General features: G+C 42.1%; 1 long non-coding RNA gene across 1 annotated transcript in view, besides 1 other annotated feature; it reads right to left on the bottom strand.

The window, feature by feature from the left end:
- The window catches only part of MRPS9-AS2 (MRPS9 antisense RNA 2), a 102,256-nt gene that overhangs the window by 38,188 nt on the left and 44,189 nt on the right, over nucleotides 1-19,879 (bottom strand). The window lies entirely within an intron of this gene.
- Nucleotides 2,443-2,737: an enhancer, noted in NCBI's record as "tiled region #1600; HepG2 Activating non-DNase unmatched - State 13:Ctcf, and K562 Activating DNase unmatched - State 12:CtcfO". NCBI's record gives its function as "activates a minimal TATA promoter and a strong SV40 promoter by Sharpr-MPRA in HepG2 and K562 cells {active_cell/tissue: HepG2 | K562}" and the evidence as "EXISTENCE:reporter gene assay evidence [ECO:0000049][PMID:27701403]".

Raw genomic sequence — 19,879 nt, forward strand, 5'->3', positions numbered from 1 at the left:
GGATGGCTGGGCTGGAGTCATGTGAAGGCTGGACTGCAACAGAGGGACGGCTGGCTTCTCTCCATCTCCATGCAGCCTCTGTGCCTTCCACGTGGCTACCCCTGCCTTCCTCACAGCATGGAGGTATCAGGGTAATTGGGCTTTTCTCACGATAGCTGGCTTCTCCAAAGTGGAAGTTGCAAAGAACAGGACAGAAGCTGCGAAGTCCCATGCCCTAGACTTGAAAGCCTCTCTGCCAGCCCAGATTCAATGCTGAGGGCACTATTCAAGGGAGTGGCTACCAGAAGACATGGCTCAATGAAAGGGGCATCTTGGAAGACTAAGTGGCAGCTAAGCTATTATCCTGTAGATAATGAGGAGTCATTGAGGCTTTTAAGTAGGAGATGGATTTGATTTCAGTTTTGTTTCAATCATTCTGGGACTAAGTGAACTAGACTGGGAAGGGAATGACCCATTTCCTTTCTGGGCGACACCAAAGATATCTGGGGAGGCTTGGAGACCTCTCAAATGCCTAGAGGGGTTACAGAGCCCACATCTCTGTGGTCCCAAAGCAGTGAGTCTCCATCCATATAGATAGAACAGCAAGTGCTACATCAAGAGAGAAGCTTCACATGATTTAAATTCTCTCGGCCACACTCCAACATAACTCCCTAATGTCCCAGAGGAAGCAAAGAAATGGCAAACTATTCAAAACAGAGTCGGGGCCTGGCGCGGCGGCTCACGCCTGTAATCCCAGCACTCTGGGAGGCCAAGGCGGACGGATCACGAGGTCAGGAGATTGAGACCACCCTGGCTAACACGGTGAAACCCCGTCTCTACTAAAAAAATACAAAAAATTAGCCACGCGTGGTGGCGTGGTCCTGTAGTCCCAGCTACTCGGGAGGCTGAGGCAGGAGAATGGCGTGAACTGGGGAGGCGGAGCTTGCAGGGAGCCAAGATCGCGCCACTGCACTCAGCCTGGAAGACAGAGCAAGACTCTGTCTCAAAAACAACAACAACAACAACAACAACAAAAACAAAACAAAACAGGGTCGGTAGAACGTGAAAGCAGCTACATAAATTGTACACCATGTGTCTTGGCTCTATTTGTTCCATGACAGTGTGGACGTGGTAATGAGGGGAAGTGGAAGGTTGGTGGAGGTGGCACTAAACTAGAAACTAAAAGCAAGAAACAATTGTGACTCCTATCCCATGACAGGAGTCTGCACCTCATTTTCACACCAACCTGGCAGGTTTTGCTTTTGAGGAGTAGTCAGCCCAACTGGGACTTAGGGGTACTTAGGAGTACTTAGCCCAACTGGGACTTAGGGGTAGTTTGGAGTACTTAGCCCAACTGGGACTTAGGGGTACTTAGGAGTACTTAGCCCAACTGGGACTTAAGAGAGCAGACATTGGTGGGAGTGGAAAGGCTGCCCACATCATCACACACCTGTTGGATACCAAGCCCTGGCTCACTTCATTGCAAATATTATTTTGTTTAATTCTCAAAAGAGCTATCCAGGGCAGGAATTATCGTTGTGTTTTTTGAGATGAGGAAGCTGGAACATAACTCCCCCAGATCACCCGCCTTACAGGAACAGAAACGCTGGCTTCTGACCCCACAGGCATGCTATCTCCTACATGGTTTTGTTATAAGCTCCTTTTCAGCATTTTGTTGTCAGAGTGTTTGCAAATGAAGAATAAAAGGACTTTACAGCTGAGGGTAGTTCCCTGACTACCATACTGTCACCCTGGCCACAAGAAGTCTAATGACAGCTTTGAGCTACAGGCATGCAAGCTCAGAACTTAAAATTCTTTTATTTTATCAGCTCTCTTTAGGGAAAGAAATCCTTCTAATCTCCTATAAAGAATTCTCAGTGGACATCAGCTGGAAAAACTGGCAAATGCTACTTTTATGGCTTCGATTTCTCTTGTTTCTCCAAATGTCTCTATTGCATGGGCTTTTGCATAAAACAATGTTTGGCAGGACCAGAGGTTTTCAGCAGTATCAATTGCACTAGGCTATAGTGGGTCTTCATCACCGTGAAACTGGGGCATTTACAGCCCAGCAACACTAAGTCTTGTTTAATGCAGCTCAGAATTCTCAGAGAGGCTGGAAAGTCACACAGGTGTCAGTCATTCATAGTGGCTTCATGGTACCTCGTATATCATTTAGTGTCCAGCCAAGATACTGAAGCCACACCAGCTATTTTAACAGAGACCTTTTAGCATAAAGACCCGTTAACTAGAAATTGAGGAACTGAAAAGGCAAAAAGGGAACACTAAGATATCACAGAGGTAGCAGGAAGCAGCTGCCTCCCCTACGACTAGAGGTAGAGATTATTAAAGCTTAGAAGCTTGAAGAAGAGGCCCCACAGTGCTGGGATGCAGACTTCTGAGGAGGGACACCAGCTGGCTGGTGCAGGCATCTCTCACAGGGTGAGATGAAGCTGGTTCTGAGTGCTGGAAAAGCTGCAAACTAGGTCCGGCTGTTACTACTGCAATGAACTGCTGCTGTCTGCATGAAGAGATGAGGCTGGAGTGACACTGCAGGAACAGGAAGCAAACTGGAAGGAAACAGGAAGGAGCCAGGTCCCCCTTTCCACCTCCAAAGCACAACTTCCCTCTAGCACCGCCTATTGGCAGAGTTGATCAGAGAAGCCACTGGAAAGGTAAAGTGTGGTTTGCAGAGTCCCAGCCCCAGCAACACAAAACCACACAGAAGTGGGTTTGAAGTTGACAGACAATCGCCTAATAACTGGCATCTTTAGCAAGATTTTAAAAATAAATTTGACACCAAAAACAAAAAAAAAATTATAGCAGTAAAAGACACTCATGTGGGAAAATGTTTTGAATTTAACCACTTGCTTTTTATATTAAGCCATTGCTTTGGTATTGGGAGAAGGAAAAGTGTTACATTATTATTGGAAACCCTGAATTCAAGTAATGCAAATCTGTCTTCGAGTTCATTTAACAAAGTGACATTTAAATTACTAAGAAGAATGGAATAAACTCTATGTTATTTGCACTCTCCCAATACACTGGGATGAAATTGTCCTGGGATCAGCAACTGATTAAGCTGATTATATACTTCATACATGGAGGATGTGGTTTTCAACCGGCCACAATCAAAATACAATTTACTTCTGTTAGTATAATAATGTAGATGCTATAAAAGGCATCTCTCGGTAAGTGTTTTTCATGTACATTTCTGCTACTATTAGCAGGGTATTTTCACAGCCTCGCTCTATCTTCTCCTTCCTTTTAACTCCAAACTCTAACCGTAGAATTTTTCAGACTTCTCAGAATAGATACAGCAAGGGAACCCTGACACATGGTGAGGAGGAAGGGGGCCACACTGGGGGCTGCTGGGAAAATAGGCATACATATGCTGGCATGGAAAATGGCACTCAAAGATGGGTGGCTCATGAAAAGGTGTAAGGCAAAAGGTAAGCCAGGCTAACAGAGCAGTTGGAAGCAGTGCCAATAGAAAGGGATCTACCAACAAAATAAAAGGCATTGTCTGTGTGCACCTGTTCTGAAAAGAAATAATCATGAGGGCAATGGTTCCCATGAACAATGGCTTATCCAAAAGGAAGGAGCTTATTTCCTTACTCACTATTTGGATGACCAGACTGATGCCTGGTGTCTCTCCTCTAATTAGCATGCTAGCAATGAATGTACTGCATACCTCCTCAGCCAAATTCTGTAGAGGAGATGCTGCAGGAACTTATGAAGTTCCTGACTCACTTCTATTCTGACTCACTTCTAGTTGGTCATGCCTAAACATATGTGTAGCCCTAAGCCTTCTCTCCATTTCTACAGCAACACCTCCATCCATGCTGTCATGATTCTTGCCTGGACTTCTGCAGTCATCCTTCACCTGGTTGTATTAGTTAGGGTCTTCCAGAGAAACAGAATCAATAGAAGATGTATATATGTCTCTCGCTATATCCATCTGTCTATCTATCTATCTATATGTCTCTCTCTTTGTGTGTGTGCATGTGTGTGTATGTATATATATATATATATATATGGAGAGAGAGAGAGAGGAGATGTTTATCTATTTCTACATATATAGAGAGACATAGAGGATTATATATATATAAAATCAATAGGAGTATAATCAATAGGATATACATATATATAGAGAGAGATATCTCTCTCTCTCTATATATATACAGAGAGGATATATATATATAAAGTCAATAAGAGTATAATCAATAGGATATATATATATATATATATATATATATATATATAGAGAGAGAGAGAGAGAGAGAGAGAGAGAGAGATTTATTGTAAAAGTTTGGATCATGCTATTATGGGGGTTGAGAAGTCCCACGATCTGCCATTTGCAAATTAGAGAACCAGGAAAGCTGGTGGTGCAGTTCCAATTTAAGCCCAAGTCCTGAGAAGCAGGAGAGTCAGTGGTGTAAGCCCCAGTCTGAATCTGAAGGCCCCCAAACCAGGATCTCTTGTTTCTGAGGACAGAAGAAGCTGGATGTCTCACCTCAAAAAAAGAGTGATTTGGAATGTGTTTTTGTTTTGTTCAGGCTCTGAATGGGTTGGATGATGCCCATCCACATTGGTGAGAACAAATCTTTGTTGCTCCGTCTGTGGATTCAAATGCTAATCTCTTCTGGAAACACCCTCACTGGTACACCCCCAAATGATATACTACCAGCTATCTGGCTATTCCTTAGCCCAGTCAAGTGGACACATAAAATTAACCATCATGCTGGTCTTTCCAATCCTATTCCTATCCCCTTTCAATCTATTCTCCAAAAAGCAGGCAGAGTTAGTCTTTAGGAACTCAAATGGGGCCATGCCCTTTCCTTATCGAAAAGCTTTCAGAAGTTTCCATTTCACTTACAGTAAAATAAAAAATTGGTTAGCAAAAATTACAAGGCCCTCTGTGATCTCATCTCTGGGTAGCCCAATAGGTTCAGTTGGTGCCATCCTCCTTGTTCACTCTGCTCTCGCTGGTGCCTGCTGCTCTTTCTTGTTGCCTCTCTCTGAAATGTTCTCTTCCCCATGTCTTGCATATACAACTCCTGCTCATTCTTCATCCCTGGGCTCAGGAGTGAAAGAAAGAAAAGAAAGAAAAGAAAGAAAAGAAAGAAAGAAAGAAAGAAAGAAAGAAAGAAAGAAAGAAAGAAAGAAAGAAAGAAAGAAAGAAAGAAAGAAAGAAAGAAAGAAAGGAAGGAAGGAAGGAAGGAAGGAAGGAAGGAAAGAAAGAAAGAAAAGAAAGAAAAGAAAGAAAGAAAGAAAAACACACATAGCAGGTCCCTTCCTTTGCCTAATGGCCTAATGTTCCCTACCAATGAAGAACGGAGACCAAATCGTCTGAGCATGGAGCCAGTCTGAGATAGAAGTTAGAAGCTCTAAGAGCCTCTCCCATTATGGTCTTTTCTTCATCCATGACCTAAACTCCAAGGAAATCCTTCTAGAAATAACTTCTGAGCACCCACAATGATGTGTATAAATCATGACACCAGAACTTGCGGGAGATACCCAGAGAGCACGGCTTCTCCATCAGGGAGGCTACATTCCAGGCAGCAAGGAGCTGAGTGTACACAAATGAGTCTGATGTGAGGCAGGAAATGTTAGGTGACGTACGTGAAAAACCAGCAAAACAGGACAGGGTTCAGAGCAGGAGAGAGTGCTTCTCTTGAGACCAGTCAGGAAAGCTGTCTGAATTAAGGGATTGTGTTTTAACTGGACCTCGGAAAACAGTAAAGAGCCGGACATGTGATAGAAATGTCTACCAGAGGGCTTCCAAGTGGAGGAACCAGCAGAGCAGAGGCTTGGCACCACAACGCTGTGTGTTAGTGCAAGAAGGAATATTAGGAAACCTACTAAAAGTCCACTGGAAATCTTTGCTTGGTGAGGACAAACAAATATATTTCAAGGAATGCTTTGTTTATTGTGTCCTGCTAATCTTGTCGGAACCATTTCATTCCACGTGAAGAGGTGAATCCACATTTGGGAATGTGGATTCCCAAAGAGCTCAGGGAGATACCTGAGCTCCTGGGCTCAAGAGTCACTTCCTCAGAAGATCCCTGCCTTGCTCTCCCCTTCCCTTTTCCCCAGCCTAGAGAAGGTCCTCACATTGTTCATTTCTTTTCAGATCCTAATCATAACTTAAAATCCAAGTGTGCTTATTTAGTTAATATCCTGCTCCCCTCTAGAAAGTAAGCCCCAGGAAAGTAGGAATATTGGATTTTTCTTTTTGTAACTAGCTGTTGTATTCCTTGTGCCTAACACAGGGCCTGACAAATAATACATACTCAATAAAGGTCTGCTGAATGAATTAGCGGTGCAATAAAATGTTATTAGACATAACTATCCTCAAAAGCCATTGCCATCCCCTGACATTTTTGTTAGCCAATTTTGACCCTTTGGGCCCAATTTGTTGCCATCTTTCAAGCCACTTTCCCTCTCGGGTGCCCTTTTCTCTCTCACTACCTGCTGGCTGCTGACATCCAAAGTCACTAGTTCATCCTCTGCCTCAGATAAGCTTTGCACCGCAGTGGACCCTAAACTAAGCACCAGGCCTGCCTTTCCACACTCTGAAATTCACTGCGGTGATCTGTCAGACTAAGGACTCATTCATCTGGTCTCTACCTTTAACACCATGGGAGGACCTATGTTTGGGCCCAGGTTCCTCCAACACTAGTTTCTATAAGTAAAGAGAATATTGTTTGATTAACGTTCTTTTCCTTTTCCAACCTCCTGAACAATTTTAGAGCCATTAAAATTTTACTTCCCAGCACATATGTGGTCTATGTGTAGTGTGGTCATAGGACAGGGATTTTGTCCCAGAATTGAGAAAAGCTTAGCCACTTTAAGGGGGAGTCATCCAAGTGCCAGATACAATTTTGGCTAACCAGGCATGCCCTGCCCTTGCTGTATGGAGCATGCGTTCCAGCGGATGATGGAATAAGTGGAGGGGCTTCCCTTCCCATGGACTCAATAAACACTGAAATGCTGATTTTCAGCAAATTCATCTCATTGGTTAAGTTCCCAAAATATGCCAAAATATTTTAAAATTCAGGGCTGTAGGCTTTATATTATGAATATTTCATTTCTCATTTTCAAATATTCTAGCTAAGGTAGATGCTGTAGAGAATATTTTACACTAGATAAGGAAGGATTACATTTGCATGCATCATCCTCACTGTCTTAGTCCATTCAGGCTACTAGAGCAAAATAACATAAACTAGGTGGCTTATAAACAACAGGAATTTATTCCTCACAGTCCTGGAGGTGGGGAAGTCTGGGATCAAGGGACTGGCAGTCAGTGTCTGGTGAGGGCCTCCTTCCTGATTTATAGATGGCACCTTCCCTCTGTGTCCCCACATGGTGAAAATGGTAGACAGGCTCTCTTTCGTAAGGGCACTAATCCTATTCATGAGGGCTCCACCCCCGTGATTTTAATCGCCCTCCAAAGGCCCCATCTCCTAATCCCATCACCTTGGGAGTTAGGTTTTCAACATATAAATTTAGGATGGGGGTTAGGATTTTAACATATAAATTTTAGAAGGGAGACACAAAAATTCAGACCATAGCACCCATAAAGAAAAAATACCAAATACGCTCAAGGGAGTCTACATTATCTTGCCAATGATAACAGTTCACCTAGCTCTGAAAAACTGAAAGGAGGTGGCAGGATGACTTTACCTCCAAAAGAAGAGTTTAAAGTACACTGAAAGGTTTTATAAATTAATGGTTTAGGCAGAATTAACATTTCAGTGTGAACCAGTAAAAATCCCTTCAGCAAGAATCAAATTCTGCTTTTTTCTGCCAACCACAATCAGATGAAATCGTCTCAAATTGAAGACACCCCTCCACAGTGACATGAGCAGGCTCCTCCATGGGAAATCTGCGGGCGTGGGAGCTAGATTCTAAATGTAGCACTCAAAATGGCAAAAGCCATCAGGCCTAAAGACAGAGAAAAAATATGCTTTTTTTTTTTTTTTTTTTTTTGAGATGGAGTATTGCTCTTGTCACCCAGGCTGGAGTGCATGGCACGATCTTGGCTCACTGCAACCTCCGCCTCCGGGATTCAGGCAGTTCTCCTGCCTCAGCCTCCCGAGTAGCTGGAACTACAGGTGCCTGCCACCACGCCTGGCTAATTTTTGTACTTTTAATAGGGACAGGGTTTCGCCATGTTGGCCAGGATGGTCTTGAACTACTGACCTCGTGATCTGCCTGCCTTGGACTCCCAAAGTGCTGGGATTACAGGTTTGAGCCACCGTGCCCGGCCAGAATATGCATTATTAAAGCACTATCAGATGGAAATGTTTGACACAACAATGATGGAAAAGCCTGTGAATTTCCACTCTGGCCAACTATAAACAGTTTGTCTTAGTTTTTTAGTTTAAATGATTAAAACAAAATATAATCAAAATAGAACAATCAGACATGGAACTTCCATAAGCACCTTCCCTCTCATAGCTTTTTGCTATTTGATGTAATGAAGGCATTTTTGCTACGTTGAGCTCTAGGTAGGAAGCAGGCACAGAGAGACAACCAGCAATCTATCCCGGGTCATGCGACTGGTGGCCAAGTTTGAGGCAGGTCCTTGGCTTCTCACAGACACCTTGGCCACAGTCACTGCGTCTGCATTCTCCGATCTCCTGCCATTCAGGGAGAAAGGGGGCTTTTCAGGATTAAGCCTAGGAGAGGGCTCCATGGAGTATAGAGACTGGTTGGTTCAGATTCTATAATTTAAAAGAATTTTTAAAAGGTTTTATTAGGGGGATTCTTGATTTAAAGAGGTACTTCAGGAAGTAATCAACTGTTTTACTGTCATATTGAGATAATAGCTACTTCTCAGCCTGTGTAAGCTCAAATAATATTAATACCTCAGCTGAAGCACAGGAGAATGGAACTTGTGAGAACAGACTGAGGTGGGGGCCTTCCCAGCTAAAACCCACAAGACTCTCTCACCGGGATGGAACACATATTGATCAAGGAGGTGAGATGGGGGCAAATTTTATTGACATCAGTTTATTTCTCATTACTTGATAAAGAGAAAGAAAAGCAGAGTGAGTAAATAAAAGGAGGCAAGAGAGAGAAAGAATAACAAAGAATGGGGGTATAAGAAAACCAGCCCACTGGTGTCCAACACAAAACAGATCTTCGTTATTCTGGGACCTCCAGTTAATTCACCCAATTTCCTAAATTAAAAGAAAGTCATTTAAAAGTACTTTTGTGCCTGGGCACGGTGGCTCACGCCTGTAATCTCAACACTTTGGGAGGCCAAGGTGGGTGGATTACCTGAGGTCAGGAGTTTGAGACCAGCCTGGCCAACATGATAAAACCCCATCTCTACTAAAAATACAAAATTAGCTGGGCATGGTGGTGCATGCCTGTAATCCCAGCTACTTGGGAGGCTGAGGCTGGAGAATTGCTTGAACCAGGGAGGCGGAGGTTGCAGTGAGCCAAGATAGCACCACTGCTGCACTCCATCCTGTGTGAGAAGAGTGAAACTCCGTCTCAAAAAAAAAAAAAGTACTTTTGTTATTACGATTCCTTTGCTGATTATTTGATTTTCTATCCATTTCTAAAACCTGTAAAAATATTGAGACCCAGCGTTTGGGCTCTTATGTTCAGTCACTCATTTAAAGCCAGCACTTTAATTTTGAGCCAGATCACTTTGGTGAACCCATTGAGCCATAATAAACACATCACCACTGTCAGCCCCAGCACCACCACCGTCACCACTACCAGCAGGATCACCATCACCACCCACCGCACCATCATCACCACCACCCTCATTATCATCACCGTCACCACCAACACCACCACCAGATCCCAGCCTACCATGACGTCTCTGGACCTTTCTCCCAACTCTCTTCACTGTGTCTTTGGATCCCAGAACAACTTCTACATCTCTAGCAGCCAGAGGACAAATTCTAGGTTTTTTCTACTCTATTATATTCTGTTAAGATAGATTCAACTGCCAGGAAGAAAGAACACCTAATTAAAACTACATGTTGCCTACTTAATCAGAAGTTTGAATATTAAGTTATCTCAGAGTTGGTTCCACAGCTCAACCACATCATGAAAGATCATGGTTATTTCTTCTTTCTAGTCCAACATCCTTAAAGTACTGGCTTTTCACTCTATTATGGGCGGAATGTTTCTGTACCCCCAAAATTCCTGTGTTGAAATCCTAACCCCCTAGGTGACGGTATAGGAGGTGGGACCTTTGGGAGGTAATTAAGTCATGAGGGAGTGGAGCCCTTGTGAATGAGATTAGTAGTCTTGTAAAAGGTACCCCCAAGAATTCTGTCACCCTGCTTCTGCCATATGAGAATAAAATGAGAAGTCAGCAGTGTGGAACCCAGAAGTGGGCCCTCACCAGAACCCAGCCATTCTGGCACTCTGATCTCAGGCTTCCAGCTTCCAGAACTGTGAGAAATAAATTTCTGTATTTTGTAAGCCCCCCAGGCTCTGGCACCTTGTTATCATAGCCCAGGCTTGCTGAGACACACCTTCATGCTGGTGGCCTTCTGTTGCAGGGTGGCTGCTGTGGCTCCAGCCATCTCATCCATGTTTCAGACAGGGAAAGAAGCAGCACCAGGTAACTCTCCTCTTATGCCAATCTTATCATGAAAGGAGAGCTTTCCAGGACATTTTTTATTGGATAGAAAAGGGTCATATGACTCTGGAAAACTGTGTGCCTGAAAAAGGAAAGCAGGATTGTCATAATGGCTCATTTCTGCCCTGAATAAAATATGGATTCTAGTAGCAAAGAAAATAGGAAGTGGGACAATCACCAATGTTTGGCCTAGGGACTATGCCTTCATCATCACAAAGGACAACTGGGGTTTGTACCAGTCAGTACCTTTCATGTTTCCTCCGCCTCTCATTTCCTTCTCCTCTGTGTGTTGCCTTCCTTCGCTCTCACTACTAACCAGCTTCCTCTACCTCATGAAACAAGCTCCCTGATTTTACATCTCATGCTTCTGCCACAGGAGAAAGGGACTGCTCTCCTCAGAACTAAATAAAACAAACAAAACAAAATAACAGGAAGGACTTGGCTTGGGCCAACCCAAGACCAATCAAGTGCCATGGGGGTGGGAGCAGGACTAAGAGTCAACAGCTCAAATTAGGTACATGACCCATTTTGCAGGGGCCTGAGACGTAGGACCATAGAAGAAAGCAGAAGCCCCTGAGATGGGCTTGTGAGAGGGGACCAGTTTCCAGGGGAAGGAGGAGAGAAGGCTGCCAGGAGTCAGCACCCCAGAAATCCATCACAAGCTGCCTCCCACTCCCTTACCCCACAAAAGCAAAGGGAGCCACTGTCAGCACTGCTCAAAATAGTGTCCTGGCCAGGGTTCCCTAGAAAGCAGAGGCTGAGATCAAAACATTTGAGCAGCCACTTTATTAGGAAATACACTCCTAGGGAATTAAGAGGATGGAAAGAGAGCACGAAGAAAGGAAGGTGGAGAGCTTTTCTGAGAGGATGCTGTCAGAACGGACAGCTTCATCTCACAGAAGCATCTTCTGAAAACCCCATGAACTACAGTCTCCAAATGGGAAGGGGAGAGAAGGAGAAGAATGCATCCATAGCTCCTAGCTCCTATCTATCAAGGTTTGGCCCAAGAATGTTAACCACCTGCACTGGACTTTGGTACCACGTGGGTCCTTCCACCTCCCAGGCCTTGGAGGCAGGAGGGGATAAACACAGGGGAGGCAGCATGTGGTCCACCCCTGGGAAGCCTGCAATGTTGGGGCTGCTGGTGGAGCCCCAGCTGAGCTGGTGGACATGGCTGCTGTGAGAGAAAACAAGCTGCAAAGAGTCCTAAAGGTAGTGAGGAGGCTGACAGCATCCGAGGAAGTGCCTAGGAAGGGTCAGAAACAGATACTCATCTCTCTTTCCATTTCAAGTCAATGTTCACTATAAACATGCTGTGTGCACAATGCTCCCCAAGGATGGAAACACCAAGAACAGGACAGTGTTCTTGGCCTCAAAAATGAAAATCTAGTTAGGAAGGTCAGATAGGCACTCAAGCAAAGATAACTAACAATATAGGTTAGCACATGGAAAAGATACATTTATGCAAATAATGAATACAGAAATACTTGCACTTATTCATTTGTACATTCAAAAACATTTATTGAGTGCCTATTGCTTACCAGATAATGGGGGATTTGAAGATACATGGTTTCAGAAATCTTAGAATATAATCGTACTTTCTTTTTTTTTTTTTTCCACAGGGCTAAACCATGTAATGTCTCTTAATTAAGCTGATGGCATCAAATTTCAGTGAAAGAAATTCAAAGGGAATGGAGGAGACCCAGCAGAGGGGGCGAAACAATATAGTACAGTTATATAATCGTACTTTCTAATAACACTTACAATCACAAGATATTTTAAACCATTTCCGTTGGAATTTGTGCATCTGTATAAGATCTATGTTCATTTCTCTTGAAGGGCATGAAAAGGTGATTTTTCAAGAACACCAAATGTTAATTTTTTTCAGATTTTCTTTTTGAAATATTTAAATTTCTGATAGAAAAAAACAGGATAATATTTTATCAATATAAATAGAACTGTAAGGCTGGGCATGGTGGCTCACGCCTGTAATCCCAGCACTTTGGGAGGCCAAGGTGGGCAGATTACCTGAGGTCAGGAGTTTGAAACCAGCCTGGCCAACATGGTAAAACCCCGTCTCTACTAAAAACACAAAAATTAGTCGGGTGTGGTGGCACAGGCCTGTAATCCCAGCTACTTGGGAGGCTGAGGCAGGAGAATTGCTTGAACCTGGGAGGTGGAGGTTGCAGTGAGCCAAGATAGTGCCACTGCACTCCAGTCTGGGCGACAAAGTGAGACTTTATCTCAAAAAATAAAAATAAAAAATAGTACTGTGAATATGCCCCACTCCTGACACCTGAACCACCTTTCAAGAATAATGGGAAGAGAATGGGGGAGGAGTCAAGGGGCCCGATTTAGAATCTCCACTATTCCACTTGCCAGCTATGTGACCTCGCACACATCTCAACCTTGTGAGCCCTCAATATCCTTGTGTAAGATGTGGGAATATGTCATGCCTGCTTTACAGAATTGCATTATGATAGGATCTTACATCTGTGCAAATTACTTACAGTTAAAAATGCCTTCCCAAAATTTAGGCCAACAGATTCTTTATTGCTCTTGATTCTCTCAAGCATGAAAGATATTAATATAACATAAAGTGTTGTGTAAATTTTGAGGTCCATTTTCTATCAAGGAGTTCTTCTAACGTAGAAAAGAATAATTTAATTTAATAATATAATATTATAATATTGTTCTACTATAAAGACATATGTACATATATGTTTATTGCAGCACTATTTACAATAGCAAAGATTTGAAACCACCTGAAATGCCCATCAATGATAGACTGGATAAAGAAAATGTGGCACATATACACCATGGAGTACTATGCAGCCATAAAAAAGAATGAGTTCATGCAGGGACATGGATGAAGCTGGAAACCATCATCCTCAGCAAACTAGCACAGGAACAGAAAACCAAACACTGCATGTTCTCACTCATAAGTAGGAGTTGAACAATGAGAACAGATGGACATAGGGAGTGGGATGGGGGGAAAGGGGAGGGAGAGCATGAGGACAAATACCTAACGCATGCAGGGTTTAAAACCTAGATGATAGGTTGATAGGTGCAGCAAACCACCATGGCACATGGACACCTATGTAACAAACCTGCACGTTCAGCACATGTATCCCAGAACTTAAAGTAAAAAATTTAAAACAAAAAAGAGAAAGTGCATTTAGTCAAAAGAATGGTTGCTATAGTAGATGAACAGTTCAGACATTATAAGTAGTATGTGAAAAAAAGCAAATTGCGGCTTTCCGTATTTTCAAAACTTTTAATTAAACTTCTCTTACTATAAGAAAATAATAATAATATACCTTGCATTTGTATAACAAAATTTTGTAAACTGTACAAATTTGGAGATGGATTCAGGCCTCCCTGTGGACAAGGATGGCACATGGTGGAGACGTTCCCTGCGGAAGTCTTTGATCATTGTGTTCATAATATTAGACCGCAAAAGTACCTTTCCATTCACATGGTGAATATATAATAGCACTTTAAACTTAAACTATGAATTTGGCCAAGCACAGTGGCTCATGCCTGTAATTCCAGCTCTTTGGGTGGCTAAGGCAGAAGGATTTCCTGAGGCTAGGAGTTCAAGACCAGCCTGGGCAACATAGCGAGATCCAGTCTCTACAAAAAGGTAAAAAAAATTAGTTGGGTGTGGTTGCATGTGCCTATAGTCCTAGCTACTTGGGAAGATGAGGCAGAAGGATTCCTTGAGCCCACGAGTTCAAGGCTGCCATGAGCTAGGTGACAGAATGAGACCCCGTTTCTAAAAAATAAAAATAAATACATTGTGAATTCTTCCTCAGATTTTAAAGTACTTTTACCTTAACTGACGTTAGTTTATAAAACATGACAATATTGTTATAAAAGAGTAGTAATTTTTCTTCTTCATATTTTTCAACCTGAAAACAGAAAAGTAATGAGAGTCCCTTGAAATTTCATTGCAAATTATTGGCAAAGGCAGAAGGGGAAAAACCCCAAAAAAAGCAAACAAAAATTCCTTTCCACCAGATCACATTGCTTACCAATTCTTAATAGCATCATTGAAATTCCTTCCAATCTGAATTCAACTCTATACATATGGAGAGCTTTAAAAAATCAAGACACATTTCTTACTAAATTTTAAAACTTCCTCAGTGCAAGGAATTATAAAGCTAAATATTTCAGTTCATTTTTCATTCAGTGAGTAATAAAAGCAGAAGGATGACAAATTGACATAATCAAGACGTTGACTCGAAAATAAGACTTCTCTTGCCTTTCGGGTTCTACAGAGGGCAGGTGCCCTTTCAGTTACCCTTCAGCATCTAGGTAAGTGAGAGTTTAGTGCAAATAAGTCGCTTTCGTTCTGATTAAAATAGTGTTTATTTTACATTTCAAGCTGCAGCATAATACGTTGGCTATATTTACAGCAATAATCCTTTTAGAGATTCTGGCTTAATTTTTTTTTTTAGCTTTGGAAAGGTCTTCAAGAGCAGTTAAATACTTATTCCTCATTTGCATGAGGAAGAACTATCACTTCAGAGGGAATATATGCTTTCATTCACTAATCCATCCATTCATGTATGGGTGGAGTGCCTACCATGTGTTCTAGGCACCGGGGGATACAGCTGCAGGGGTGAAAATCATGTACACTCACAAGTTTCATGCCTTACCTTCTAGCTGGGGGAGAGAGACAATAAACACAACGAATAACTATATTCTAAAAAGGCATCAATACTTTGAAGAAAAATGAAATGATGAGGGAAGATAAACCTTGGGGCTGCCAATTAAATAAATAATGTGACCCAGGAAAGCCTCATTGAGAAGGGAACATTTGAATGCATTCTTTTTTTTAATTTATTTTTTTATTTTTAATTTTTTATTATTATTATTTTTTGAGACGGAGTCTCCCTCTGTCACCCAGGCTGGAGTGTAGTGGCAGGATCTCAGCTCACTGCAACCTCCGCCTCCCGGGTTCAAGCGATCCTGCTGTCTCAGCCTCTCAAGTAGCTGGGACTATAAGCATGCGCCACCATGCCCAGCTCTTTGTATTTTTAGTAGAGATGGGGTTTCACCATGTTGGCCAAGCTGGTCTCAAACTCTTGACCTCATGATCTGCCCGCCTCGGCCTCCCAAAGTGCTGGGATTACAGATGTGAGCCACCTTGCCCAGCCTTGAACACATTCTTGAGGGAATTAGTTGACCGCATGAATATCTGAGGCCAGATGTGAATATCTGGGGTAAGGGGAACACAGAAAGAGGGAGAGGAGACAGCAAAAGCCCTGCACAGAAGCATGTCTGACATATTTCAGAAACAGAACAATAACAACAACAAAAAAACGAGCATGGCTGGAGCAGTGTGAGTAAGGCGGTCCTGGTAGGAGATGAGGTTGGAGGGTAAGTGCAGTTTTGGGGAGATGGGTAGGTTGATCTCGTAGGGTCTTTGTAGATGATTGTAAAGACTTTTCTTTCACTCTGTGTGAGGTGGGTTTTGAGTAGAAGAATGATATGTTCCGACCAACATCTAAGACAGCAAGAGCAGAAGAAGAGCAGTCACTTAGGAGGTGATGGCAACTCTCCAGATGAGAGACAAGAGTGGCTTGAACCAGACTGGTGAGCAGTGGAAGTGATGCAAAAGGAGTGGATTCCCGGTCTACTTTTAAGACAGACTCAACAGGAATTCTTGATGGGCTGGATGTGGGGTGTGAGACAAGGAAGAGGGAGTCAAAGATGACTCCGTGTTTTGGTCTGTGCACTGGAAAGGCAGAGTTGCCATTACTGATAGGAGGAAGAATGAGGGTTCCGCAGGGCTGGGAGAGGGGGCCACAGATCATCAGTTCACTTTGCTTAAGTCAGATATGTCTACTAGGCACCCAAGTGGGGATGGGGGGGCGTGCAGGGAATAAGATTTCCTAGTCTGTAGTTCAGAGGGGTAATCAGGACTGAAGATTTAAATTTGGAATTTGAAGCCACAACAGTGCACGAAATTATCAAGGGGATGAGTGCAGTTTGAAATGAGAGGTTCCACAACTATGCTGTGAGCACTCGAAGATAAAGAAGTGGAGGAGTGCCCAGAGCCTGGGACCTAGTAGTCCTGGGGTTAATTGACATATCATTAACACCCAAAGTTCATAATTTACATTAAAGTTCACTCTTGGTGTTGTACATTCCATGGGTTTTTGAGAAATGTTCTAATAACATTTTTAAATAATTTAAAATTAATTAATGTAATAACTTTTTATGATGGTAAAAACACTTAACATGAGATCTGCTTTCTTAAATTTGTAGGTGCACAATACAATATTGTTAAGAATAAGTACTGGCTGGGTGTGGTGGCTCACACCTGCAATCCCAGCACTTTGGGAGGCTGAGGCAGGCAGACCACATGAGGTCAGGAGTTCGAGACCAGCCTGCCAACGTGGAAAAACCTTGTCTCTACTAAAAATACAAAAATTAGCCAGGCATGGTGGTGGGCACCTGTAATCCCAGCTACTAGGGAGGCTGAGGCAGAAGAATTGCTTGAACCTACGGGGCAGAGGTTGCTGTGAGCCAAGATCGTGCCACTGCACTCTAGCCTGGGCAACAGAGCAAGACTCCATCTCAAAAACAAACAAACAAACAAAAAAGGAATAGGTACTATGTTGAACAGTAGATCTCTAGGAATTATTATTATTCATCTTGCAAACTTATACTTGGTGAACAACTTCCCACATCCTCCTCCACCAGCCTCTGCAACCACCATTCTATTCTCTGTTTCTATGAATTTGACTACAATTTTTAAAAAAATTATAATAAGTATTGGCGAGAATGTGGAGAAATTGGAATCCTTGTGCACTGTTGGGAGTGTAAAACAATGCCACTGCTATGGAGAACAGTATGGGGGTTTCTAAAAAGTTAAAAAGAAAACTACCAGATGATCCAGCAACCCCATTTCTGGGTATATAAAAAATAAAGTAAAATTAGTATGTTGAAGAGATATCTGCACTCTCATGTTCATTGCAGAATTATTCACAATAGCCAAGATGTGGAAACAATTTAATCGTTCATCATTGGATGAATGGATAAAGAAAATACCATGTTTTATTGTGCTTCACTTTATTGTACTTCACAGACATTGCATTTTTTTTTTTCAAATTGAAAGTCTGTGGCAACCCTGAATCTAGCAAGTCTATGGGCGTCATATTCCAAAGGCATATGATCACTTCTTGAATCTGTGTCACATGTAGGTATTTCTTATAATATTTCAAACTTTTTTATTATTATTATGTCAGTTATAGTGATCTGTGATCAGTGATCAGTGTTACTATTGCAATTGTTTTGGAATGCCACAAGTCTCACCCATATAAGATGGCAAACTCAATTGATAAATGTTGTGTGTTTTCTGACTGTTTCAACAATAGGCTGTTCTCTCATCTCTCTCCCTCTCCTTGGGCCTCCCTATTCTCTGAGACACAAGATTGAAATTAGGTCAATTCATAACCCTACAATGACCTCTAAGTGTTTAAGTGAAAGGAAGAGTCACACATCTCTCACTTTAAATCAAAAGCTACAAATGATTAAGCTTAGTGAGGAAGGCATGTTGAAAGTCAATACAGGCCAAGAGCTTGGCATTTTGTGCCAAATAGCTCGCCAAGTTGTGAATGCAAAGGAAAAGTTCTTGAAGAAAGTTAAAAGTGCTACTCCAGTGATCCCAGGAATAAGAAAGCAAAACAGACTTATTGCTGATCTGAAGAAAGTCTTAGTGATCTGCATAGATCAAATCAGATAAACTATTTCCTTAAGCCAAAGCCTAAGTCTTTTCAGCTCTATGAAGGCTGAGAGAGGTGAAGAAGCTGCATAGGGGAACTTTAAAGCTAGCAGCTGTTGGTTCATGAGGGTTAAGGAAAGAAGCCACCTCCACAAAAATGCAAGGTAAAGCAGCAAGTGCTGATGTAGAAGCTGCAGCAAGTTATCCAGAAGATCTAGCTAAGATCACTGATGAAGGTGGTTACACAAAACAGCCTTATTTTGGAAGAAGATGCCATCTAGGACTTTCATAGATGGAGAGAAGAGGTCAATACCTGGCTTCAAAGCTTCAAAGGACAGACCGACTCTCTTGTTAGGGGCTAATTGCCTTTAAGTTGAAGCCAATCTCATTTACCATTCTAAAAATATTAGGGCTCTTAAGAATTATGCTAAATCTACTCTGCCTATGCTCTGTAAGTGGAACAACAAAACCTGGATGACAGCACATCTCTTTACAGCATGGTTTACTGAATATTTTGAGCTCACTGTTGAGACCTACTGCTCAGAAAAAAAAAAAAGATTATTTTCAAAATACTGACCGTGCACCTCAGTAACAGTGTACCTGTCCCCCAAGAGTTCTAATGGAGATGTACAAGGAGATTAACGTTGTTTCCATGCCTGCCAACACAGCATCTATTCTGCAGCCCACAGATCAAGGAATAATTTTGATTTTTTAAGAGATACATATCATAAGGCTATACCAGCCATAGATAGTGATTCCTCTGATGGATCTGGGCAAAGTAAATTTAAAACCTTCTGGAAAGAATTCATCATTCAAATGTCATTAGGGTATAAGGAGGGAGAGGATCAGGAAAAATAACTAACGGTACTAGGCTTAATACCTGGCTGACAAAATAATCTGTACAACATATACCCATGACACAAGTTTACCTATATAACAAACCTGCACAGTACCCCTGAATTTAAAAGTTTTTTTAAAAAAGAACATTTGTGATTCATGAGAGAAGGTCAAAATAGCAACATTAACAGGAGTTTGGGAAAAGCTGATTCCAACCATCTTGAATATCTTTTAGGGATGAAGATTTCAGTGGAAGAAGTAATTGCAGATGTAGTTAAAATAGCAAGAGAACTAGAAGTGGAAGTAGAGCCTGAAGCTGTGACTGAATTAGTGCAATCTCACGGTAAAACTTGAATGGACGAGGAGTTGCTTCTTATGGATGAGTAAAGAAAATGATTTCTTTAAATGGAATCTACTCCTGGTGAGGAGGCTATGAACATTGTTGAAATGACAACAAAGGATTTAGAATATCACATTAACTTACTTGAGAAAGCAGTGACAGAGTTTGAGAGAACTGACTCCAATTTTGAAACAAATTCTATTGTGGGTAAAATGCTATCAAAAATCATCACATACTACAGAAAACTCTTCGTGAAAGGAAGAGTCAATCAATGTGGCAAACTTCATTGTTGTGTTATTTTAAGAAATTGTCACAGCCAACCCAACCTTCAGTGGCCATCATCCCGATCAGTCAGCAGCCGTCGACATGA

Source organism: Homo sapiens, chromosome 2, assembly GCF_000001405.40.
Source record: "Homo sapiens chromosome 2, GRCh38.p14 Primary Assembly".
NCBI lineage: Eukaryota > Metazoa > Chordata > Mammalia > Primates > Hominidae > Homo > Homo sapiens.